Source organism: Homo sapiens, chromosome 1 (assembly GCF_000001405.40).
Source record: "Homo sapiens chromosome 1, GRCh38.p14 Primary Assembly".
NCBI lineage: Eukaryota > Metazoa > Chordata > Mammalia > Primates > Hominidae > Homo > Homo sapiens.
In genome coordinates, this window is record NC_000001.11 from 43,689,960 (window position 1) to 43,709,367 (window position 19,408).

Here is a 19,408-nt window from a genome sequence, read left to right on the forward strand (position 1 = left end):
AGCAGATCTACTAAGTAGGAGTTTCACAAATGGCATAGGCTCTGGGGTTGACATCTTTCTGGGCCTCATCCTTGGAATGGAGATGCAGGTGCCATCCAGCAGATATTTGCAATCAGTATAGTTTGCCAAGGGAAGTATGTGGATTTAAGTTCTTCCTGGAGGGACCCTGAGCCAGGAATCACACAGGTGGGGCTCCAGCCATGTGACAGTGCTGCAGTTCAGGTGACCTGCTGACAGGCACAAGAGGCAATTAGTGCTGGCCTACTAGGAGCATCTGCTCTGGGTACACTCCTGAGGTGGGGTCACCGCACAGTGTAGCACGTAAGGGAGCCCACAGTAGCAGCCTAGCTGCTAACATCTCCGTGCATTTTTTTTTTTTTTAGACGGAGTCTCAGTCTGTTGCCCAGGCTGGAGTGCAGCTGGGACTACAGGCACACACCATCACACCCAGCTAATTTTTGGATTCTTAGTACAGACGGGGTTTCACCATGTTGGCTAGGCTGGTCTTGGACTCCTGACCTCTGGTGATCCACCCGCCTCGGCCTCCCGAAGTGCTGGAATTACAGGCGTGAGCCACCTCACCTGGCCTCTCAGTGCATTTTATTAACCACTTTCTTTGGGAAGATTGAAATCCCAGTTGCCTCTTACCTTGCTCCCTTTTCTCAGTTGTCCCCTAGGGGCCTTTGTATGATGCTGCTGTGAGAAACTGAATTTGAGTCATTACAGGTAACTTCAATTAGCAGCTCCGGGATAATGGCTGTGCACCCGGGAGCTGTAGCCATAGTCAGATCGGTAAGAGAGCCAGCTTTCTGCTGATAGAGCAGGTGGAAAGCTAAGAGCATAGGCACGTGCTCACTGAGGTGTACACTTGTTCTTTCCCCTTAGGTTGAATTTGGAGGCTTTAATCAGAACTGTGGAAATGCTTCAGATTTAGCCCCCCAGAAGCAGAGGACCAAGCCATTGATTCCAGAAATGTGCTTCACTTCGACTGGCTGCAGCACGGACATCAACCTTTCTACTCCTTATCTTGAGGAGGATGGCACCAGCATACTCGTTTCCTGCAAGAAGTGCAGCGTCCGGGTCCATGCCAGTGAGTGCTGCTCACCTTTCTCTGTGTCCTGTCCCAGGAGTATGGGCCTGCTCACTGGAAGTTCTTGCCACCTCCTGGCCTCCCAGCCCCAAAAAGATTGTTGATGTTTTATTGGGGAGTCTGTTGCTAGCTGATTTTTCACTGTCTCCAGGGGTCCATACTGGCACTAGTCATCTCTTTGCCATCCTCTTGGTTGCAGATAGCAGAAAGGGATTAGTCCCTGCCACTTACTAGGTGTTTGTACCAGTGAATCTACAGTTTTTGACTTTTTGAGACTTTGAGCCATACTGTATGCCTGAGCCCTGGGGACTCAGACTAAAGAAAACTAAGGGGTTTCTGTGAGATTTGGTTGTAGCTTTGGGAGGTGGTATATGGAAAGGAATTGCAAATCTACCTTTTGACTCTGACCACTGGGTTTAATTTGCTCATCTTGGTGTCCCTGTTAGGTTGCTATGGGGTCCCCCCTGCAAAGGCTTCTGAAGACTGGATGTGTTCTCGGTGTTCAGCCAATGCCCTAGAGGAGGTGAGTGATCCCACACTGTTACTGTCTTCACCATGAGTCTTGGTGCATATTCAGGGCCAGACGATTTCATGTTGGACTCAGTATTCCCAGCAGTCTGCATAGGGTCTGGTACGCGGTGATGTCAGAGAGCGAGTATTGTGAGAGTAAATCCTATGACCGTGAGAATGGTTGCTGCCCACTTACGGAGTCTGGATGCTGTGTTTGCTCCATTGTGGAAAGACCAACTAGTGGTCTTCCTGTGGAGGAACAATAACTCCCTTAAAAGAATTTAGCCATTTTGAATTGGAGCCTCAGAAAGGGGCTCAGATGATTCATTGTGCTGTTTTCTCTTCACTGTACCCCCTGGAACCTGGCTGTACCTAGCCCATATAAGAAGCAGTCAGAGCCCTGTCATGCCTCTAGTTTGAGCAAAGTATCTTTTGTGACTTTGCTAAGAGTTGTTATTAGCAGCAACAATGAAGAGGATTATGTGAAGTCACGTGACTACTTGGCACACTTTAGCCCTGAGTGGCCTCTCCTTCTGACAGGGCGTCCTGGTGCAGGGGCTGCCTGGGTGAAGCCCCACATGCTATTATGCTTCTTTCTTATGTGGAGGAGTTGCCCAAAGCAGGTCCAGGGGAGAGCAGATTGAATGTTAATGACTTGGTATTAACCACTTTTTCCTCCCTCTCCTTTCTTGGCAGGACTGCTGTTTATGCTCATTACGAGGAGGGGCCCTGCAGAGAGCAAATGATGACAGGTAAGTTTCCTGAGCAGTGCCTTGGAATGCACAGGCTCAGTTCCGAAGCACACAGTGTCTTTGTGAGGGTACTAGCTGTTCTTCTGAATGACTGATGAGGATTTGGGAAGCACATCGTGTGGAGCAGGAATAGCATCTCCAAGACTCATTTTAAAAATGGAATGCTAAGGGAGCCAAGCAGTCCCAGACTTTCCAACTCCAGCTGCTCCTCTGCAGCAGAGATGTCAGTGACATCCTCCTTTGGAGAAGCTAAGAATGGACTCATGAGAATATGAAGACGAAGATGATGCGCAGGGACTGTGTGGGCTGGAGTGAGGACATTCACCTTGTCACAGCTGGGGCTGGTATGCAGAGGCGGCCACAGGCTAGCAAGCACTTCTCCACATGGCAAACTCCCTGGCTCAGACCTGCTGTTTGGAATGAGGCGAGTGTGCTCAAGGAGGACACTGAGGAGAGCTCAGACAGGCCCACCCACTATGGAACCGAATCTGCTGAATTTTCTGGGCTTCTCAGCTGTTGGGCAGCTCGTTTTCATGGAGTGAATCTTTGTGCTTAGGCTTGTGTTTGGTTGCTCTGAGGTGGAAACGTAAGATGAATGAGGTTTCTGACCTGGAAGAGCTAGCTGTCTAGGGCATGGTGCGTGCAGGTCAGTGCTGAGTATCCTGCTTCCAAGTAGAATCCCGTGGCAACTTGCAGCATATGTTCAGTCCAGCCGCCTGCCCTCAAGAGTCCCAGTTATGCTGTCCCTGAGAGATAGCTACTCTGCCTGCTGCTTCTGCTCCTTCAAAGGCACTTGCTGCCATTATTTGAGGTCACTGGGTTCCTCACAGTCACAGGATAGTGCTGGGAACATTCTTTCTTATTTGGAGTGGAAATGGCTGTGCTTGAATCTCTCACCTTTACCTCTGAATGCCTGTTCTGCCCTCCAGGGCCACACAGAACAAATCTGTTCCCACTCTAAAAAGACAGCCCCACTAGAACTGCAGAGAGCTTCCATGGAGCCCCAGTGTTGTCTGGTGTAGGTTTTCACGTAGCATGGTTTTAAGAGTTGTCACCATTTTCGTTCTTCTCCTCTTGATGCATGCTGGTTTCCCAAAATGTCCAAAACTTACTTTAATTCTTAAGGATGTCCGTTGAATAGACCTCTCAGAGTAAGTGGGGCTTGGGTCAGACCTTAAAGATTAAAGAGTGAGTCAGCTATGGAAAAAGGGAGCAGAAGGGAGAGGTCATTTCAGCCTGGGGGAGAGGTTTGGGCAGAGGCCGAGAGAGAGCTGTGATTACTGGCAGATTAGGGCACAGCCGGGGACGTTTTCAGGAAGCACTTGGGTCCTATGGTAAAGAGGTCTGCATAGAGCTTTCCAGTTTATTCTCACTCCCTGAGACCTGCCACACACCATTAGCCTGCAGCTCTGTTCATTTTTCAACAGAGTGGTGTAAGAAGCATGATCCGGTGCTAACCTAGGGCAGTGGGCAGTGGCCTAGGTGGGCAGTGGGGGTGGCACTGCTTCCACATACTCAGAGGAGAGACGGTTCTGGTTCTCACCTTCCTGGGTCCCAGGCATGTGCTGGTGGAAGTCAGTGGTCACCCAGGTGAGGGAGGAAGCGCTGTCAGCAGGCCCAAAAGAGAAGGCCACAGAGCCTTGGGCCCAGAGGTGACTGAGGGAGCCTTTGCCTTTTGGCAGGTGGGTCCACGTTTCATGTGCTGTGGCAATTCTGGAAGCAAGGTTTGTCAACATTGCAGAAAGAAGTCCGGTGGATGTGAGCAAAATCCCCCTGCCCCGCTTCAAACTGGTAAGGGCTTGTAGACTCTACATAATTTCCCGACTTACAAGTTTCTGGGTAGAAGAGAACAGGGACCTCCTGTACCCCTTGGTTTTGGTTAGAGTTTGTGATTCTCACTCTGTGGTTAGATTCCTTAGTGGAGGCCAGGTGTGGTGGCTCACACCTGTAATCCCAGCCCTTTGTGGGGCCGAGGTGGGTGAACCACTTGAGGTCAGGAGTTCAAGACCAGCCTGGGCAACATGGTGAAACCCCGACTCTACTAAAAATATAAAATTAGCTGGGAGTGGTGGTGCGCACCTATAATCCCAGCTCCTCGGGAATCTGAGGCAGGAGAATCACTTGAACCCGGGAGGCGGAGGTTGCAGTGAGCCGATATTGTGTCACTGCACTCCAGCCTGGGTGACAGAGCAAGACTCCGTCTCAAAAAAAAAAAAAAAAAAATTTCCTTGGCAGATAAAGTTGTAACCAGACCTGGATTAGAGCAGGCTGGTGTGTCCTTGTATTTTGGGAAGGGGCTGGCTCTTGCTTGCTTGGCTTTGCATTTGGGAGGGGAACAACAGAGGAAGCTGCAGTGCCAGTTCCTGCAATCACTGGTTTTCTTCCCCTGTGCTACAGAAATGTATCTTCTGTAAGAAGCGGAGGAAAAGAACTGCTGGCTGCTGTGTGCAGTGTTCTCACGGCCGCTGCCCAACTGCCTTCCATGTGAGCTGCGCCCAGGCTGCCGGTGTGATGATGCAGCCTGACGACTGGCCTTTTGTGGTCTTCATTACCTGCTTTCGGCACAAGATTCCTAATTTGGAGGTGAGAGAGGGTGTCATTCTAGAATCCTCTTGACAGTTTTCATGGTCATTTTCTCTGCATGTTTTCCATTTGTTGTATCAGCAACTATTTCCTCAAGCATTCTGCATTATGAAGAGTGCTAATGAGTTAAGAGATTGAGAGGTGGCCCCTGTCCATCTCCACTCCCTGCCTTGTACTCCATAAGCCAGTGACACCAAACTGCTTGTAGTTGATTCGTTTTGATTATCTCTTTACTTGTCTGCCTCTCCATCAGAATAAACTCCTTGAGGGTCCATATCTTATTAATGTGGTCATCCTTATTACTTAACCTAGTGTCCGGGACATGCAGAACCTCTGAAAATGTTGAGAACAAATGGGGAGAGCTCCCAAGAGTTAACCATGAATTGCCAGACAGTAGAGATTTCTGCAGTTCTCTTAATGGTAAAGCTTAGAGAAAAAGTGACATGTAATGTTAGCTAGAGGAGCTCTGAAGAGGATTGGGTAGACGGTGGCATTTGAAGTGGGTCTTAAACAATAAGAAGGAATTGTATGCAGAGACTGTTGTGTGCAGAGCTTGAGAAACAGAATGAACAGGTCGCAGAAGAAGGATCATGAAAGACTGGTTATGGGAGTGTGACGGTGTGTGGGAGTGTGATGCTTGAGAGGCGGACAACGGCAGAGGATGAAGGCCCTGCACTGCCACTCTCAGGACTCTGACCTGTCTTCACTGGATGAGAACTTGTTGAATATTTTGATTCTGCATTATAGTTTTTGATAATCACTCAGGTGGTTGTTTGAAGAGAGGATTCAGAGTAAGAATTTGAGGCTGGAAAACCAGTTAGTCCAGGAGAGAGTGAGGTCTGAAATGGGAACACATAGGCAGGGCTTTGGGGTACATTTAACTTTGAGATCCTCCAACAGGTAGAACTGATAGGGTTTATTGACCCTCGTGGGTTGAGGAGAGAAGGGGAGAGGAGGAGGAAAGGGGGAGTGAATATTGAAGATGACTCAGGTTACTCCCTTGAGAGATGGGAAGGATGCTAATATGATGTTAGTAACTGCAATCAGGAACTGAGATGAAGCAGTGTTGCTCTGCAAGGGAGAGAAGGAGGGATGAGAAAGAGGAAAGTAAATGCTGAGGTCACTGGAGCATTCTGGAGAGTAACTGTGAGGGTAAAGATTTGGCTATTAGCATTTAACAGCATAGTTAAATCTAGTTCCCATTAGAAACTGGGCTCTGGAGATTCCCAGTGGGAGAAGCAGGTAGCAGAGCATGAACCAGTGAAAGCAGTTGAGAAAGTGAAGCAAGCCAGTGGGAGGAAGGAGGGTCATATCCAACAGAGAAGGCAGGGCTGGTGTGGTGGTCACTAAGTACCACAAACTGGAGTGTCCCTGTGGAGTAGTCAGGTCAGAAGCCAGACCGTAGTTGGGGAAGGCTCTGCCATGAGTGAGTTACAATCTAATAGAAGAGGCGATCATACAAGTTTGACAACAGTGTGGTAAATACATAATCAAAGGAAGAACGTGATAGATGGCCAGCCCAGAAGGATGAACTTTTCACTCTGCCATTTGGGGTTGCAGAAAAGTCCTGGTTGGCTGACTGCATTCTTTTTCATAAAGATGTTGAACGTGACAGGTGGTCAGGGGTATGATAGGAAGGACCTTAGGAAGATGGGAACATATTGTATGTGAGAATGAGACTCCGGAGTGTCTCAAGGGCCCTGCCCTAGCCATCCCTGGTGCCCTCACCATGCCCTTCTCATTCTGAACTTGCCCTTAATGCAAGTAAAAACTTGAGGTAGTACTGAGTCACAGCTATGATAGGGAAGAGTTTTTTCATACACAGAATAGTTATTTTGTGATAATCATTAATACTCCACATGCTTAAGCTGGCAGCTGTAGACTGCTGGTGCTATGAGGAAATTGGGGGGACTGATGAGTTAGTAGTTTTTTCACTGATTTATTCTTCAAATGTTTATTGAGCATTTACTATATGCCAGGCACAGTTTTAGGTGCCAGGACTATACCATTGAACAAGACAAAAAAGTCCTTGCCCTTCTGGTGCATACAGTATAGTTGAAGGACACATAGAAGCAAGTAAATACACAGTATAGCAGATGGTGAGAAGTGCAGGGATAAAAATTAAGTCAGATAAGGGGAATGGAAGATGAAGTAGTAAGGAATGACATCAATAAGTTGACACTGGGATGGGAGTCAGTGTGCAAGTAACTGGGGAATGGCATCTCAGGTAGAAGAACCAGCAGTGTCGAAGCCCTGGGTGGCAGCACATATGGCACACTCATTCAGGGAACAGCAAGGGGGGCCAGCATGGCTGGGGCAGAGTGCCTGGGCAGGCTAGCAGGCGTGCTTGGAAATGAGGCCGTCACATACTTTGTGATCCTGTTTGCATCAAGGGCAAGTTCAGAATGAGAAGGGCATGGTTGAGGGCACCAGAGATGGCAATGGCAGGGCCCTTGGAATGGGGGACAGTTTGTTGTGTGTAGCTGGAGACATCTGGGAAACCTAAGTCTTTGTGCCCTAGCCCTGAGGGTAATGCTGCAGGTGCTAAGATGTGGTGCAGCTTTGCCTGGCGGCCCAGGCCTCAGGGCACCTATTGAGTCTCTCCTTCGATACTTTGATGTCAGTTCTTGGCAAGATCAGAGGTCCATGTTGTTGTTCAGAGAGTTCTGGGTAAGATAATATGGTATAAGGGCCAGTTGTGGACTAGCTAAATTTATGGGAAGAGCTAAATTTATGGAGGAAATGTGGTACTGGTCTCTTCCAATGTCCTGGCTGGGATGGTGGGTATCTGGAAAGGCTTGTTTTAGCTCCCATCTCTTCTCTCCTTTTTACTTTTACTTTCCCATGCTTATCTTTCCCTGATAAGGAGGAACTAATTGATCTTCATCTCCATATGCCAGGCCTGCAAACTCCACGTGTGAGTAACCAAAGCCTCTGTTTTTTTCCAGCGTGCCAAGGGGGCCTTGCAAAGCATCACTGCAGGCCAGAAAGTCATTAGCAAGCATAAGAACGGGCGCTTCTACCAGTGTGAAGTGGTCAGGCTCACCACCGAGACCTTCTATGAAGTCAACTTTGATGATGGCTCCTTCAGCGACAATCTTTATCCTGAGGACATAGTGGTAATATCTGCAAGGAGCTTCTCAGGCAGTTTGGAATGGGGGGATGTTTCTAAGGTCTGGCTGGCAGACTGTGTGTGTATGCCTGCTTCTTCTAGCCAGGTCCCTGGTCCCATCACCATGTCCTCAAACAGAAAGAATCATCTGTACCAGTCTTTCTTTGCAAAGAAAACTGCGTGCTGCTAGGGTACCCTATTTTCCCTAGAAGTACCTGGGAATCAGTATTTTCTGCAATTCCTTGAAACCTGCATCTGTTGCCGTCTAAATTATCCTTGAGGGCATTCTAGTGCAATAGGAGAGCCCAGGCTTTGGAATCAAATATGCCAATACCAGCTTCATTGCCTAGTAGCTGTGTGATTTTAGGGGAATTATCCAACTCTCTTTTCTATCAGGCCCTCTTAGTAGATGTATAGAATCTGCTTTTGTCTCTTCACAGTGGGCTTTAGGGCTAAGTAGAAACTGCCTGGAGACACCCTTGGCCTGTTTATGTTATCAACACCTGAGACACAGTGGCCCCACATGGACCCAGTCCTAGGTCTGGCTTGGTAGTGAGGACTTAGTTCAGGTTTCCCCTACCCCCACCTTGCCTTTTCAGTTGGTAGACTGACCACCAAAGTAGAGAGGAATGAAACCATTTTTTCCTTTAACAAATCAGGTATTGTCCCATGTTTATACCACATTAGCCACTCAGTTGCTAAAAGCACATTCATTAGTTATAAGGTAGACTTATAGAAAAGGCGACATTAGTAGTACTCATAGCAGTAGCATAGCTATCATTTATTTATATTTTATTTGTGAGACAGGGTTTCACTCTGACGCCCAGGCTGGAGTGCAGTGGCACAATCTCAGCTCACTGCAGCCTCAACTTCCTGGATTGAGGTGATCATCCCACCTCAGCCTCCCTGGTAGCTGGGACTACAGGAACGCACCACCACAGCCGGCTAATTTTTTAATTTTTTGTAGAGACGGGCTTTTGCCATGTTGCCCAGGCTGGTCTCAAACTCCTGGGCTCAAGTGATCTGCCTACCTTGGCCTCCCAAAGTGGTGGGATTACAGGCGTGAGCCACTGTGCCTGGCCTTATTTTTTTTTTTTTTTTTTTGAGAGAGACCAGGTCTCACTCTGTCACTTAGGCTGGAGTGCAGTGGCTGTATCATAGCTCCTGCAATCTCAAACTCCTGAACTCAAGTGATCCTCCTGCTTCAGCTTCCCAGGTAGCTGGGACTACAGGCACATGCAGTCACACCTGGCTAATTTTTAAATTTTTTGTAGTAACAACGGTCTTGCTTTGTTGCTCAGGCTGGTTTCGATCTCGCAGCTTGAAGCGATCCTCACATCTTGGGCCCCCAAACCACTGGGATTACAAGAGTTTGAGCCACCATACCTGGCCCTTGCTGTAATTTATTAAGCTGGTACAGTATGCCAGGCACTATGCTAAGTGGTTATTTCAAGTATCTCTTTATCTTCTCATACCCACTGTGAGAAGGATGTGGTATTATCTCTAACTTACAGTGGTTTCAGGACTCCATTTTCTACAAGTTAGAGACCCCAAAGAGCCTGTGTTTCTCTGGGTTACATCTAAACGTATTTATTCTTATTAGAAATTAAAGCAGATTGATTTAAAATAATCAATTTTTTTAGATTAAAAATAACTTTTCTAAAACAAAAACAAAAGATTGCCATTTCCCTGCAATTTTGCAAATCTCTTTAATGTCTTTTTTTTTTTTTTTTGAGATGGAGTCTTGCTCTGTTGCCCAGGCTGGAGTACGGGAGTACGGTGGCATGATCTTGGCTCACTGCAGGCTTCACCTCCCAGGTTCACGCCATTCTCCTGCCTCAGCCTCCCGAGTAGCTGGGACTACAGGCGCCCGCCACCATGCCCGGCTAATTTTTTGTATTTTTAGTAGACATGGGGTTTCACCATGTTAGCCAGGATGGTCTTGATCTCCTGATCTCGTGATCCGCCCGCCTCGGCCTCCCAAAGTGGTGGGATTACAGGCGTGAGCCACCGCGCTGGCCTTAATGTCACTTCTTGATTCAATCTATTGTGATACACTGTTTAGGTTCAAGTATAGGAAGAAAATTCAGCCTTGCGTAGATATGTAATTGGAAAAAGGAGTTTGTTTTTGTTTTTTTAAAATAGGGTTTCACTCCAGTCACCCACGTTGGAGTGCAGTGCAGTGATCTCAACTCACTGCAACCTCCACATACCAGGCTCAAGTGATTCTGCTGCCTCAGCCTCCCAAGTAGCTGGGACTACAGGCCCTTGTCACTGGCGCCCAGCTAATTTTTTAATTTTTTGTAGAGATGGAGTTTTGCCTTGTTGCCCAGGCTGGTCTCAAAACTGGGCTCAAGCAATCCGCCTACCTCGGCCTCCCAAAGTGCTGGGATTACATCTGTGAGCCACCACTCCCAGCCAAGGGAGGTATTTTAATAGTCTTTCAGGTAATTGTGTTTATTATTCTCTGATATCCACCAAAACTCAATGGAAGTAACAACTTTTTTTGTTTGTTTGTTTGTTTTAAGAGATGATGTCTTGCTTTGTTGACCAAGCACCTCCCGAGTAGCTGGGACTACAGGCATGCATGGCTATTTGTAGAAATGGGGTCTTGCCATCTTGCCCAGGTAGTCTCAAACTCCTGGGCTCAAGCGATTTCTTTTGCCTCAACCTCCCAAAGTGCTGGGATTACAGGTGTGAGCCACTGCTCCTGGCAGGTTCTTAAAAGTTAGTTGCAGTGTGGAATCTGAAAGGTCAGTGAACGTTTCATACTGTTAACACTAAAACCCATTGGTCTCTTCTGAATGGATCTTTCACCCATGCATCCTTTTATAACATCATACTTTGGTCATTTAGAAAATATTGGTGCACTGGCCTATCGACAGCCTCCAAATGTTGTTAAATATTATTATAAATTTAATTTTTTTTTTTTTTTGAGACAGAGTCTCGCTCTGTCGCCAGGCTGGAGTGCAGTGGTGCGTTCTTGGCTCACTGCAACCTCCACCTACCGGGTTCAAGCGATTCTCCTGCCTCAGCATCCCAAGTAGCTGCGACTACAGGTGCACGCCACCACGCCCAACTAATTTTTGTATTTTTAGTAGAGAGGGTTTCCCCATGTTGTCCAGGATGGACTCAATCTCTTGACCTCGTGATCTGCCCGCCTTGGCCTCCCAAAGTGCTGGGATTACAGGCATGAGCCACCACGCCCGGCCATAAATATTTTAAAAATTACATTTGTTAGTATCACTAATAATCAAAAAACTTGGAATTTTGGGAAGTTTCAAGCTCACAGTTGTGAATGCCGCTTCTCTGAAATGCTAATATTTGTTTGAAAGCCTGAATTTTACTATTGGCAACAGATACTGACTTTTGTTTTCCTTGACATGACAGGCGTTCACTTCATGCATTTTCAAGAAGATGTCTGCCAGATACCTAAGTCTGAAAAGCCATAGTTTGTCAGTCACTTTTTTCTTTTTTTAAATTTTCATAGAGTTTTTTAAAGACAGGGTCCTGCTCTGTTGCGCAGCACCACTGCTGGAGTGCAGTGGCATGGTCATGGCTCACTGCAGCCTCATCCTCCCGGCCTCAAGCAGTCCTCAGCCTTCCGAGTAACTGGGACTATAGGCGTGTGCCATCACACCTGGATAATTTTTTATGTTTTGTAGAGATGGGGTCTCCCCTGTGTTGCCCAGGCTGGTCTTGAACTCCTGGGCTGATGCGATCCTCCTACCTCTGCCTCCCAAAGTGAGGGATTACAGGCATGAGCCACCATGCCTGGCCTAGTAATTTTTTTCAAATAAAACTGGTATTCCATGAACAAAGCAGCTAGTGTAATTCACAACTCAAACAACACAGATAGATTTCTTTGAGACAACCAAAAGTGTCTTATGAGGACTTAACACATGTACTCAATGATTAAGATTTAACAACATTAATAATTTTTTACTGCTTCATCAAGGGATATTGTTACATGCAATCTAGAGTTTTTGCTCTTTTCTCCTAAATTATGAGTGTACAGTGGTGAAAAATGCAATAACAACTAGTAGAGCTTAGGGTCAGTGCCTTGATCTGTGCTCAGGTGCCAGCAGTTGTACCTATCCTAGGTAAATGACAACACAGTGACAAAGGCTAATAGTTTAATATTATAAAAATAGCCATGTCTCACTTGCTCCCTGACAGTGTCTCAGGAACCCCTCAGAGGTTCACAGACCACATTTTCAGAAGTGCTGTTATAGGAGGTGGAACTGAATTGCAGAGAACTTAAACAATTTATCAAATATCAAACATTTGAGTAGTTAAATCTTAGAACACCTCAGATATTGGGTGTAGGAGGCTGTAGTTTATGCCTAATTGTTAGATTGATACAAAATGTATTTACTGATTACCTATTCAGTAAATGAATTGTCAATAAGTAGGGAACTGTTTCCACTCAATAAATGAACTGTAGCATGATTGTAAGAGCAGATGTGAGCATCCACATCCTTTTAGACTCACTGCCCTGCCCCTCTCTCATTTTTTAAGCCATGTCCCTAAGGACCTTCTCCCAGGTATACCTATCAGACCTTTCATTCAGCCAATATGCTGAATGAAATATCCCCCCGTATACCAAGCCCTATGCTGGGAATACGATGAGGACTTGGGGTACTTACCTGCTTCTGGAAGGAATAAAAGTTCTGAAGTACTTTGCCAGGTCCCATGGTAGGTGACTCTTTTTCATCTTTCCTGTTAAGAACATATTTCTTGGTTGGGCACAGTGGCTCATGCCTGTAATCCCACCACTTTGGCAAGCCGAGGCAGGCAGATCACCTGAGGTAAGGAGTTCGAGACCAGACTGGCCAACATGGTGAAACCCCGTCTCTACTAAAAATACAAAGATTAGCTGGGCATGGTGGCACGTGCCTGTTGTCCCAGCTACTCGGGAGGCTGAGGCAGGAGGATTGCTAGAACCCAGGAGGCTGAGGTTGCAATGAGCCAAGATCAGGCCACTGTATTCCAGCGTGATCTCAGCTCTCTGCAAGCTCCGCCTCCTGGGTTCACACCATTCTCCTGCCTCAGACTCCCGAGTAGCTGGGACTACAGGCGCCTGCCACCACACCTGGCTAATTTTTTGCATTTTTAGTAGAGATGGGGTTTCACCATGTTAGCCAGGATGGTCTTGATCTCCTGACCTGGTGATCTGCCTGCCTCAGCCTCCCAAAGTGCTGCGATTACAGGCATGAGCCACCGTGCCTGGCCAAAAAAAACACATGTCTTATAGTTGAGTATGGTTCTAGTATTTCTTCATGGCAGAGCCCTGGAGAACCCGCAGGGGAACAGTTGAGGGAATGTAAGAAGGACTCTTGATTCTGGCACTTAACTCCTGTGTTTACTAAGTTTGTTATAGCTGGATTTTTTTTTTTTTTTTGGTCACCTAGAAGCAGGAGAGGGCAGAGATAGGGGCAGACTTTGACTTAGCAAGGTCTTTAACTGTTAACATTTTTCAGCCCAGAGAGCTGCCTTGCTCTCTAAAACAGTTACTTTGTCCTGGTTCACTCTTCCCTGAGTAGAGGACAGTTACCTTTGTGTGCAGGTGGACGTTCCTTTCACCCTCCTTCCTTCCTGTTTCCTCAGAGCCAGGACTGTCTCCAGTTTGGTCCTCCTGCTGAAGGGGAAGTGGTCCAAGTGAGATGGACAGACGGCCAAGTCTATGGAGCCAAGTTTGTGGCCTCCCACCCTATCCAAATGTACCAGGTATCCAAAGTTCTACCTTTCTAGGGAGTGGGGGGTGCTTGATTAATTCTGTGCTTCCTGTTGGGCCAGAGGCGAGTCTTTGCTCTTAGGAGAACTAATAGGTTGGTAACCCTTTCAGAGCTAGGGGTCTGCCCTGTTTCCAGTCTGCCAAATGTGAAGTAAGGTAGTTGTTATTTTAGTGTTCTAACTCCTTCCTTTGACTGTAGGGGACTGCCACTGTGCATGGTGGACCAGGGAAAGAGTCAGGGATATCCTAGCCAAAAGGCCTTTGTTTCCTTGGTAGGTGGAGTTTGAGGATGGCTCACAACTTGTGGTTAAGAGAGATGATGTATACACACTGGATGAAGAGCTTCCCAAGAGAGTCAAATCTAGACTGGTGAGTATTTTCTGTGTCCCCCCAGTTCCTGTCTTGGAGGGAGGGAACAAGTCAAGGATGCATCCCTTTGTATTGTTCCTGGGGTAGCTGACACTTGGCTTGCTTATTCTTCTATAGTCAGTAGCCTCAGACATGCGCTTCAATGAGATTTTCACAGAGAAAGAGGTTAAGCAAGAAAAGAAACGGCAACGAGTTATCAACTCAAGATACCGGGAAGATTATATTGAGCCTGCACTATACCGGGCCATCATGGAGTAGGTGCTTCCAGGGTCCAAGGGATTCTCAGCCATCCAGGCAAGAGCACTCTGGGTTCCACAGCACAGCAGACATGGAACGCTGAAGTCTCTGAAAGTGAAGTTGTAAAAAGAAAAGGAATGAAATAACCGACCCATCATCTTCTCACCCACCCTCATTGCATTCCGCTGTAGTGAAAGGACGAGCCATTTCTGGGCACGTGGCAGCAGTCGCTGATCTCCCAGCTGAGGGGCTGAGCACTGGAATGCTGTGGCTGCACTGGCCCCAGTCCATAGAGGGGTCAACTATGCTGGCTGGACTGGCTGCCTTGTTCCTGGCCTAGGACTTAGCTTCATAACTATCACCTGCACCGACTAGGCTGAGGTGCTGGTACTTGCCCCAACCCCTACTTTTGTATTTATATGTGTGTGTGTGTGTGCGTGCGTGCGTGCGTGCGTGTATGTTTGGTCTGGACCAGCTTCTGCCAGCCCCTGGCCTTTACTTTCTTCCTTGCCTATGCAGGGCAAACAAAATGTGAAATTCTGCCCTCAGCTGAGCTGAGTAAGGGCTCCTGGGGGTTGGCTGGAGATGGGTGTGGCATCTGTCCAGGCCTGGAACCGTCTCAAGACAGTGCTGGCAAAGCTGCAGTATTGAGATGCTAAGGAGCTGATGCCACCTCTTTGTCTTCCCCTAAAGGAGAACATGGGGATAACATGGGTGTGTGCCCACAACACTCTAGGTGCAGAGCCCCTGTGGCAAAGTATTACAGGGTGTGGGTGGGGATTACCCTGAATCGGGGATTTTAATGATGGAAGCAGGCAGAGCCTGGTGGGTGATTCTGTCAACAGAAAATTGCAATCATGCAGGGGCTGGGAGGGTTAGGATGAAAAAACTGGGGCCATTGGAGGCCCACTGTAGGTGGGAGGGAGCTGATTTTGGGGTGGGGGGTGGGACTAGAGGGCAATACTGAAGGGGTTAAACAGGTTTTTGCTCCTCAAGAATTTGTTTGCCTGGGCCCAGGATTGGAGGGCTTCACACCAATACCCTGTGTATACAAGAATCAGATTTATAATACTTCCCCTTTTTTGTTACGTATGAACACTATAAACCAAATTATTTTGAAAACTGGTGCATCACCTTGTCCTTAGCAATAAAATGTGTTGAGCAGAGGATTGGCTGTCTGCCCCAAGGAGCCCACGTGGCCCACGTCAGGCTGGGGGGTGTATCTAGAGTCATAGGCTCTGGAGCGGGGCTGTGTATTTTAAGACAAATCAGTAAGGCATTCCCTAGGAAGTTCCAGAGAGTGGGTCCTTTGCTTGTCAAGCTCTGTATTAGGCCAAGTATGGTGGGTCATGGGAGCAGGGACACTTCTGGCTCTGAGCACCTCTTTGTTGTGCTTGCTCTGCCTTAGAGACGGGCAAGATGAGGTAACAGAGGAAGCACCAGACCAATGAGTCCTCTCAACAGAGTATCTCTCACTGCTGCCCCATTTGATACATCTTTGTTGAACTGGCCTAAGTTCATGCCAGCATCTGTGCTCTATACAAATTGTGGAACCAGTGGGAAGGATGGGTGCATTTTAGGTGCTTGAAAAGCAAGGGACTCAACCTCCAGTGGGATCCTCAGATTGCTCTCCGAGCTGTCTAGTTGGTGAGAAGCTTCCCTGGAGGAAGACCCAATCTCCTTTGGCTGGTAGATCCCTGAGGTCAAAGTGGACAAGGATGGGGAACCACAGAGCAGGGAGGGGGGCAATGAATAGGTGCAGGACTTGGGTGCCCCGGAGCTGCACCGGCTGGCCCTTAAACAGCCAGGCACTTCCTGTGGCATGGCCCTGTCCAGGTGCAGGAGAGGCTTAGGTCAGTTCAGCTGCTCTGGATGCTTCCTTGTGTCCCTGGGGGTTGAGAGGTGGTTGCTACTTGGTATCTCATTGTGGAGAAAGGGAGGTGCAGGAGGTGATCTTTTCTATGTCAGCTCCCTCCTGGGGCCCAGGGAGGGAAGTTGGCCTTTTTTTTTCTTTGCCCACACTCCACTTGGGGATTCCCAGGGGATGTAGCAAGGGAGGCTGGGCAGAACCAGGCCTTAGTGGATTGGTGAGAGAACACTAATCCATACATCTTTGGAAGAGAGGAACACTTCACCAGCCTTTTTACACAGGATCCCTACCTTTCTCGATGACCCCACTGCCTCCAGGGGTGGGCGCTGGGTTTAATCCCAGCAGTTTTTACTCAACAGCTGACCAGTTTTCCAGAAACTGCACTTTTTTTTTTTGGTCAACCTAATAACTCTTAGGAAACTGCAACTCAGGTGATCCAAATCACACAGACCGGCCCGTTCTCTCCCCTACTGGCTGCCTATGCAGTCGGGTCGACCTCAAGAGAACTGGCCCCAGCCAAAAGCGGCACCTCCCGGCCTGCCAGTCCCTTCCTGCCTTAGGCAGCTCCTCCCAGAAGCCTTTTTGTAGGGCAAACTGCCTTCCCTTTGTAAGGTAGGGCCTTTGGATCCAAGGTTGCAGTTTAAAGACCACCCCGACTTTGTTGAGGAATTAAGTTTTAAATTCCGCCCCAGGCGGATAACACCAGGGCTCAGCCGCAGGAATGAAAAAGGAGTGGGAGGGCTGCAAAGTGTACGTGGGGCTTGGAGGCCTTGTGCCACGCGCGGACTAAAAATGTTCTACGAGTCTCTTAACGCTCACCCCCGTGCCCCCTTACCCACCAGGGCCCACGGAGGTCCGAAGCTTTCGGCCTCAGTGAGCGGAATGGGTGCGCTCACGACCTGGAGGGCGAGATGAGATGTCCCTCGGCGTGAAGTGGCCGTGACTACCCTAGCACTTTGCGTTCCCCGCGCGGGCGACGAAACACGCTCTCGAGGGGAGAGAGCCGTGCGTCCTCTGGGCCGTGAAGCCAGGGGAAGAGGGTTCCTCTAGACAGCTCGATGTGCCCGGGAGAGACACCCACGCTGAACCTGCAAGCTGGGGTGCTCCACCAGCGCGAACCTCTCGCCCCGCACTCGCCGCAGCACTGCTCTCGTGGTAGGCGGGGTGGGCGGGACGGCAAATCCGCGGCTCCTGCGTCTATTGGGCTGCTCGGGGCAGCGCAGCTCCGCATTGGCCAGGCCCTCGCTCCGCCCGGCTTCCGCGAGCCCATTGGTCGCAGGCGCCCGACCGGGTCGCGGCCGCGCGCTCCGCCCGCCGCTGCGTCCCCACTATGGCGGCGCCCATGCAGCCCAGCGCGTTGTGGGCTCCCGCCGGGGTCCCCCGCGGCTGTCGCCGCCGCCTACGCCGCTGCCTCCGCCTTCCTGCCCCGCGTCGGGCCGGGCGCCACCTCCCCCCTGCCTCCCTCTCCGCTGTGGTAAGGGCCTGCCCAGTGCGCTTCGGGGCGCGATGGCTGACCGCGAATAACGGTCGCCGCTCCGCCCCGCCCCTCCCCCGCCGGCCGCGGGTCCCGGGCTGGGCGGGGCGCGGAGCCCGCGCGCTAGTGCCCGGGAAGGCGGGGTCGGGGCACGGCCCAGTCGTCCTTCGGGCTGGGGGCCCAGTACCTGGATGACCTCTCCTGGGTGGGGGCCGCCGAGCCTGGGGGAAAGGCCGGCCGGACGCAGGCCAGGAGGTCTGAGATCATCTCCGTGTGAAACCCCGCAGCGCTGCGCACCTTGGCGCAGAGCACGGACACCGTCATTCGGGCCCTGCTGTGGGAAAAGGAAAGAAAAGTCCAGGGAGCGCCTGAGCGGGAATCGGCAGCGTTTGGGTAGCGGTTGTCATTGCTTACTGCTCTAGCGGGGGCCAGAACTGGGGTCAGTTTGATCGGCAAAGTACGCCTCTCTTGCTTCCTTTCCTTCTGGCACTTTCCCCCGTTGTGTCCTCGGTGCTTTTGCTTGCAAGAGAAAATATCTTAGTGAGGAGGGCAGGTTTGGTTAGGAGAGTGTCCCATGAACATTTTGGATTCCTTTTTACAACAATGTCCATTTTTATGATTCCTCAGTAAGCCTCATTTATGTTTCCTTCACGTATGAGGAAGGAGTGAAACCTGATAACTGAATGTAATTAATTGAGGGAAGGACCAGTGAAGGCGGCTATTACCTCAGAAAGTAAAATACTCAAACTTTTCAGTGGATGTACTGTGAATTATAGATAGCTGGACATTAAGGTAGGAAAAAACTCTTATTAGGTTACTAAAAGTAAGATAGTCCCCATGACAAATTAGGTTGTTTCTAAGGCAGAATTATCTTGTAGAGATGATCACTGAAATGTTTGGTGTACTTTCAAGTCAACAGAGGATTAAAAGGAAGCTGGCACAGAAATTTATAGCCAAATGATACTTTCAAATAATCTCTTAAGGCAATACAGCTCCTCCTATGATTAGAGATTCTTAAGGATATTTTGAGATATTAAGTGGTGAATCTCTCCATTTCGCGTGTCTAACTGTCTAACCATGGTTTAATAAAAATAAAATGTTAACGATGAAACAAGACATTCATGTTCTCAGAGACTAACAGACTTTGTATCAATCAATGGAACGCCTCTTGAGTACATATTTTATGCAAGGCATTGACTGAGGGGAAACTCAAAACCATTTAAGATAAGAAACTTGCTCTAATGGGCCTATAATATACTTGAGGGAATAAAGCACACACATGACAATGATAACTGTGATATGGTCTCTAGAATTCCAAGATGGTAGGTACTCTGAGAAACCGAGAAAAGGAGAAATCCATGTGTTTGAGGAAGGTTTCACAGGGAAGCTGAGGCTTGAATTGGGTCATGAAGAGTGGGTAGCCGGCTGTATGAAGGGGAAGAAGTGAGCAGATGAGAAAGTGAGGATGACAAAGGTGCAGGGGAACCTGAGATGCTCATGGGTGGTTCCAGGGGGTTTCTTAGCAGAAAAAGCAGGATATGAGGTTGCACAAAAGGTAGGTTGATGGCATTAATCCAAGAGGTACCTTTGTCCTGTGTGGTGCAAAGAGTAAACAAGTAATAGAATTTACTTCAAAGGAAGCTGTAGCTAACTATCAGGAATACAGTAACACTT

General features: G+C 48.6%; 2 protein-coding genes and 1 long non-coding RNA gene across 59 annotated transcripts in view, besides 5 other annotated features; 2 read left to right on the forward strand and 1 right to left on the reverse strand.

The window, feature by feature from the left end:
- KDM4A (lysine demethylase 4A) overlaps window positions 1–15,559 on the forward strand; it is a 55,370-nt gene extending 39,811 nt beyond the window's left edge. Inside the window, exons 14-22 of the mRNA NM_014663.3 lie at window positions 886–1,090; window positions 1,537–1,613; window positions 2,297–2,352; window positions 4,035–4,143; window positions 4,750–4,935; window positions 7,884–8,054; window positions 13,658–13,777; window positions 14,061–14,153; window positions 14,271–15,559. Coding sequence (NP_055478.2) covers window positions 886–1,090; window positions 1,537–1,613; window positions 2,297–2,352; window positions 4,035–4,143; window positions 4,750–4,935; window positions 7,884–8,054; window positions 13,658–13,777; window positions 14,061–14,153; window positions 14,271–14,411 — 1,158 coding nt within the window. The 3' untranslated portion in view covers window positions 14,412–15,559. The remainder of the gene's footprint in view (window positions 1–885; window positions 1,091–1,536; window positions 1,614–2,296; window positions 2,353–4,034; window positions 4,144–4,749; window positions 4,936–7,883; window positions 8,055–13,657; window positions 13,778–14,060; window positions 14,154–14,270) is intronic.
- KDM4A-AS1 (KDM4A antisense RNA 1) lies at window positions 9,765–17,382 on the reverse strand. The gene is made up of 5 exons (NR_033827.1): window positions 17,100–17,382; window positions 14,394–14,498; window positions 13,605–13,688; window positions 12,697–12,769; window positions 9,765–10,793 (listed from the first exon to the last, which is right to left on the reverse strand). It is a non-coding gene; the product is annotated as a KDM4A antisense RNA 1 (long non-coding RNA).
- Window positions 17,012–17,529: an enhancer, noted in NCBI's record as "H3K27ac hESC enhancer chr1:44172642-44173159 (GRCh37/hg19 assembly coordinates)". NCBI's record gives its function as "activates a minimal SCP1, AML or CMV promoter by ChIP-STARR-seq in primed H9 embryonic stem cells {active_cell/tissue: H9 hESC(primed)}" and the evidence as "EXISTENCE:reporter gene assay evidence [ECO:0000049][PMID:30033119]".
- Window positions 17,012–17,964: a biological region, named in NCBI's record as "H3K27ac hESC enhancer GRCh37_chr1:44172642-44173159".
- Window positions 17,255–17,334: an enhancer, noted in NCBI's record as "active region_922". NCBI's record gives its function as "activates an Ori minimal core promoter by ATAC-STARR-seq in GM12878 lymphoblastoid cells {active_cell/tissue: GM12878}" and the evidence as "EXISTENCE:reporter gene assay evidence [ECO:0000049][PMID:35858748]".
- Window positions 17,465–17,964: a silencer, noted in NCBI's record as "silent region_789". NCBI's record gives its function as "represses an Ori minimal core promoter by ATAC-STARR-seq in GM12878 lymphoblastoid cells {active_cell/tissue: GM12878}" and the evidence as "EXISTENCE:reporter gene assay evidence [ECO:0000049][PMID:35858748]".
- The window catches only part of ST3GAL3 (ST3 beta-galactoside alpha-2,3-sialyltransferase 3), a 223,624-nt gene continuing 221,792 nt past the window's right edge, over window positions 17,577–19,408 (forward strand). For 50 of the 57 annotated variants that reach the window (NR_073021.3, NR_073018.3, NR_146867.2 and 47 more), the window contains exon 1: window positions 17,577–17,734. The gene's annotated coding sequence lies outside the window, so the exon portion shown is untranslated. Of the gene's footprint in view, window positions 18,174–19,408 lie in introns of all 57 variants that reach the window. The other 7 variants (XM_047428185.1, XM_047428273.1, XM_047428232.1 and 4 more) reach the window with 3 other exon arrangements.
- Window positions 17,995–18,044: a silencer, noted in NCBI's record as "silent region_790". NCBI's record gives its function as "represses an Ori minimal core promoter by ATAC-STARR-seq in GM12878 lymphoblastoid cells {active_cell/tissue: GM12878}" and the evidence as "EXISTENCE:reporter gene assay evidence [ECO:0000049][PMID:35858748]".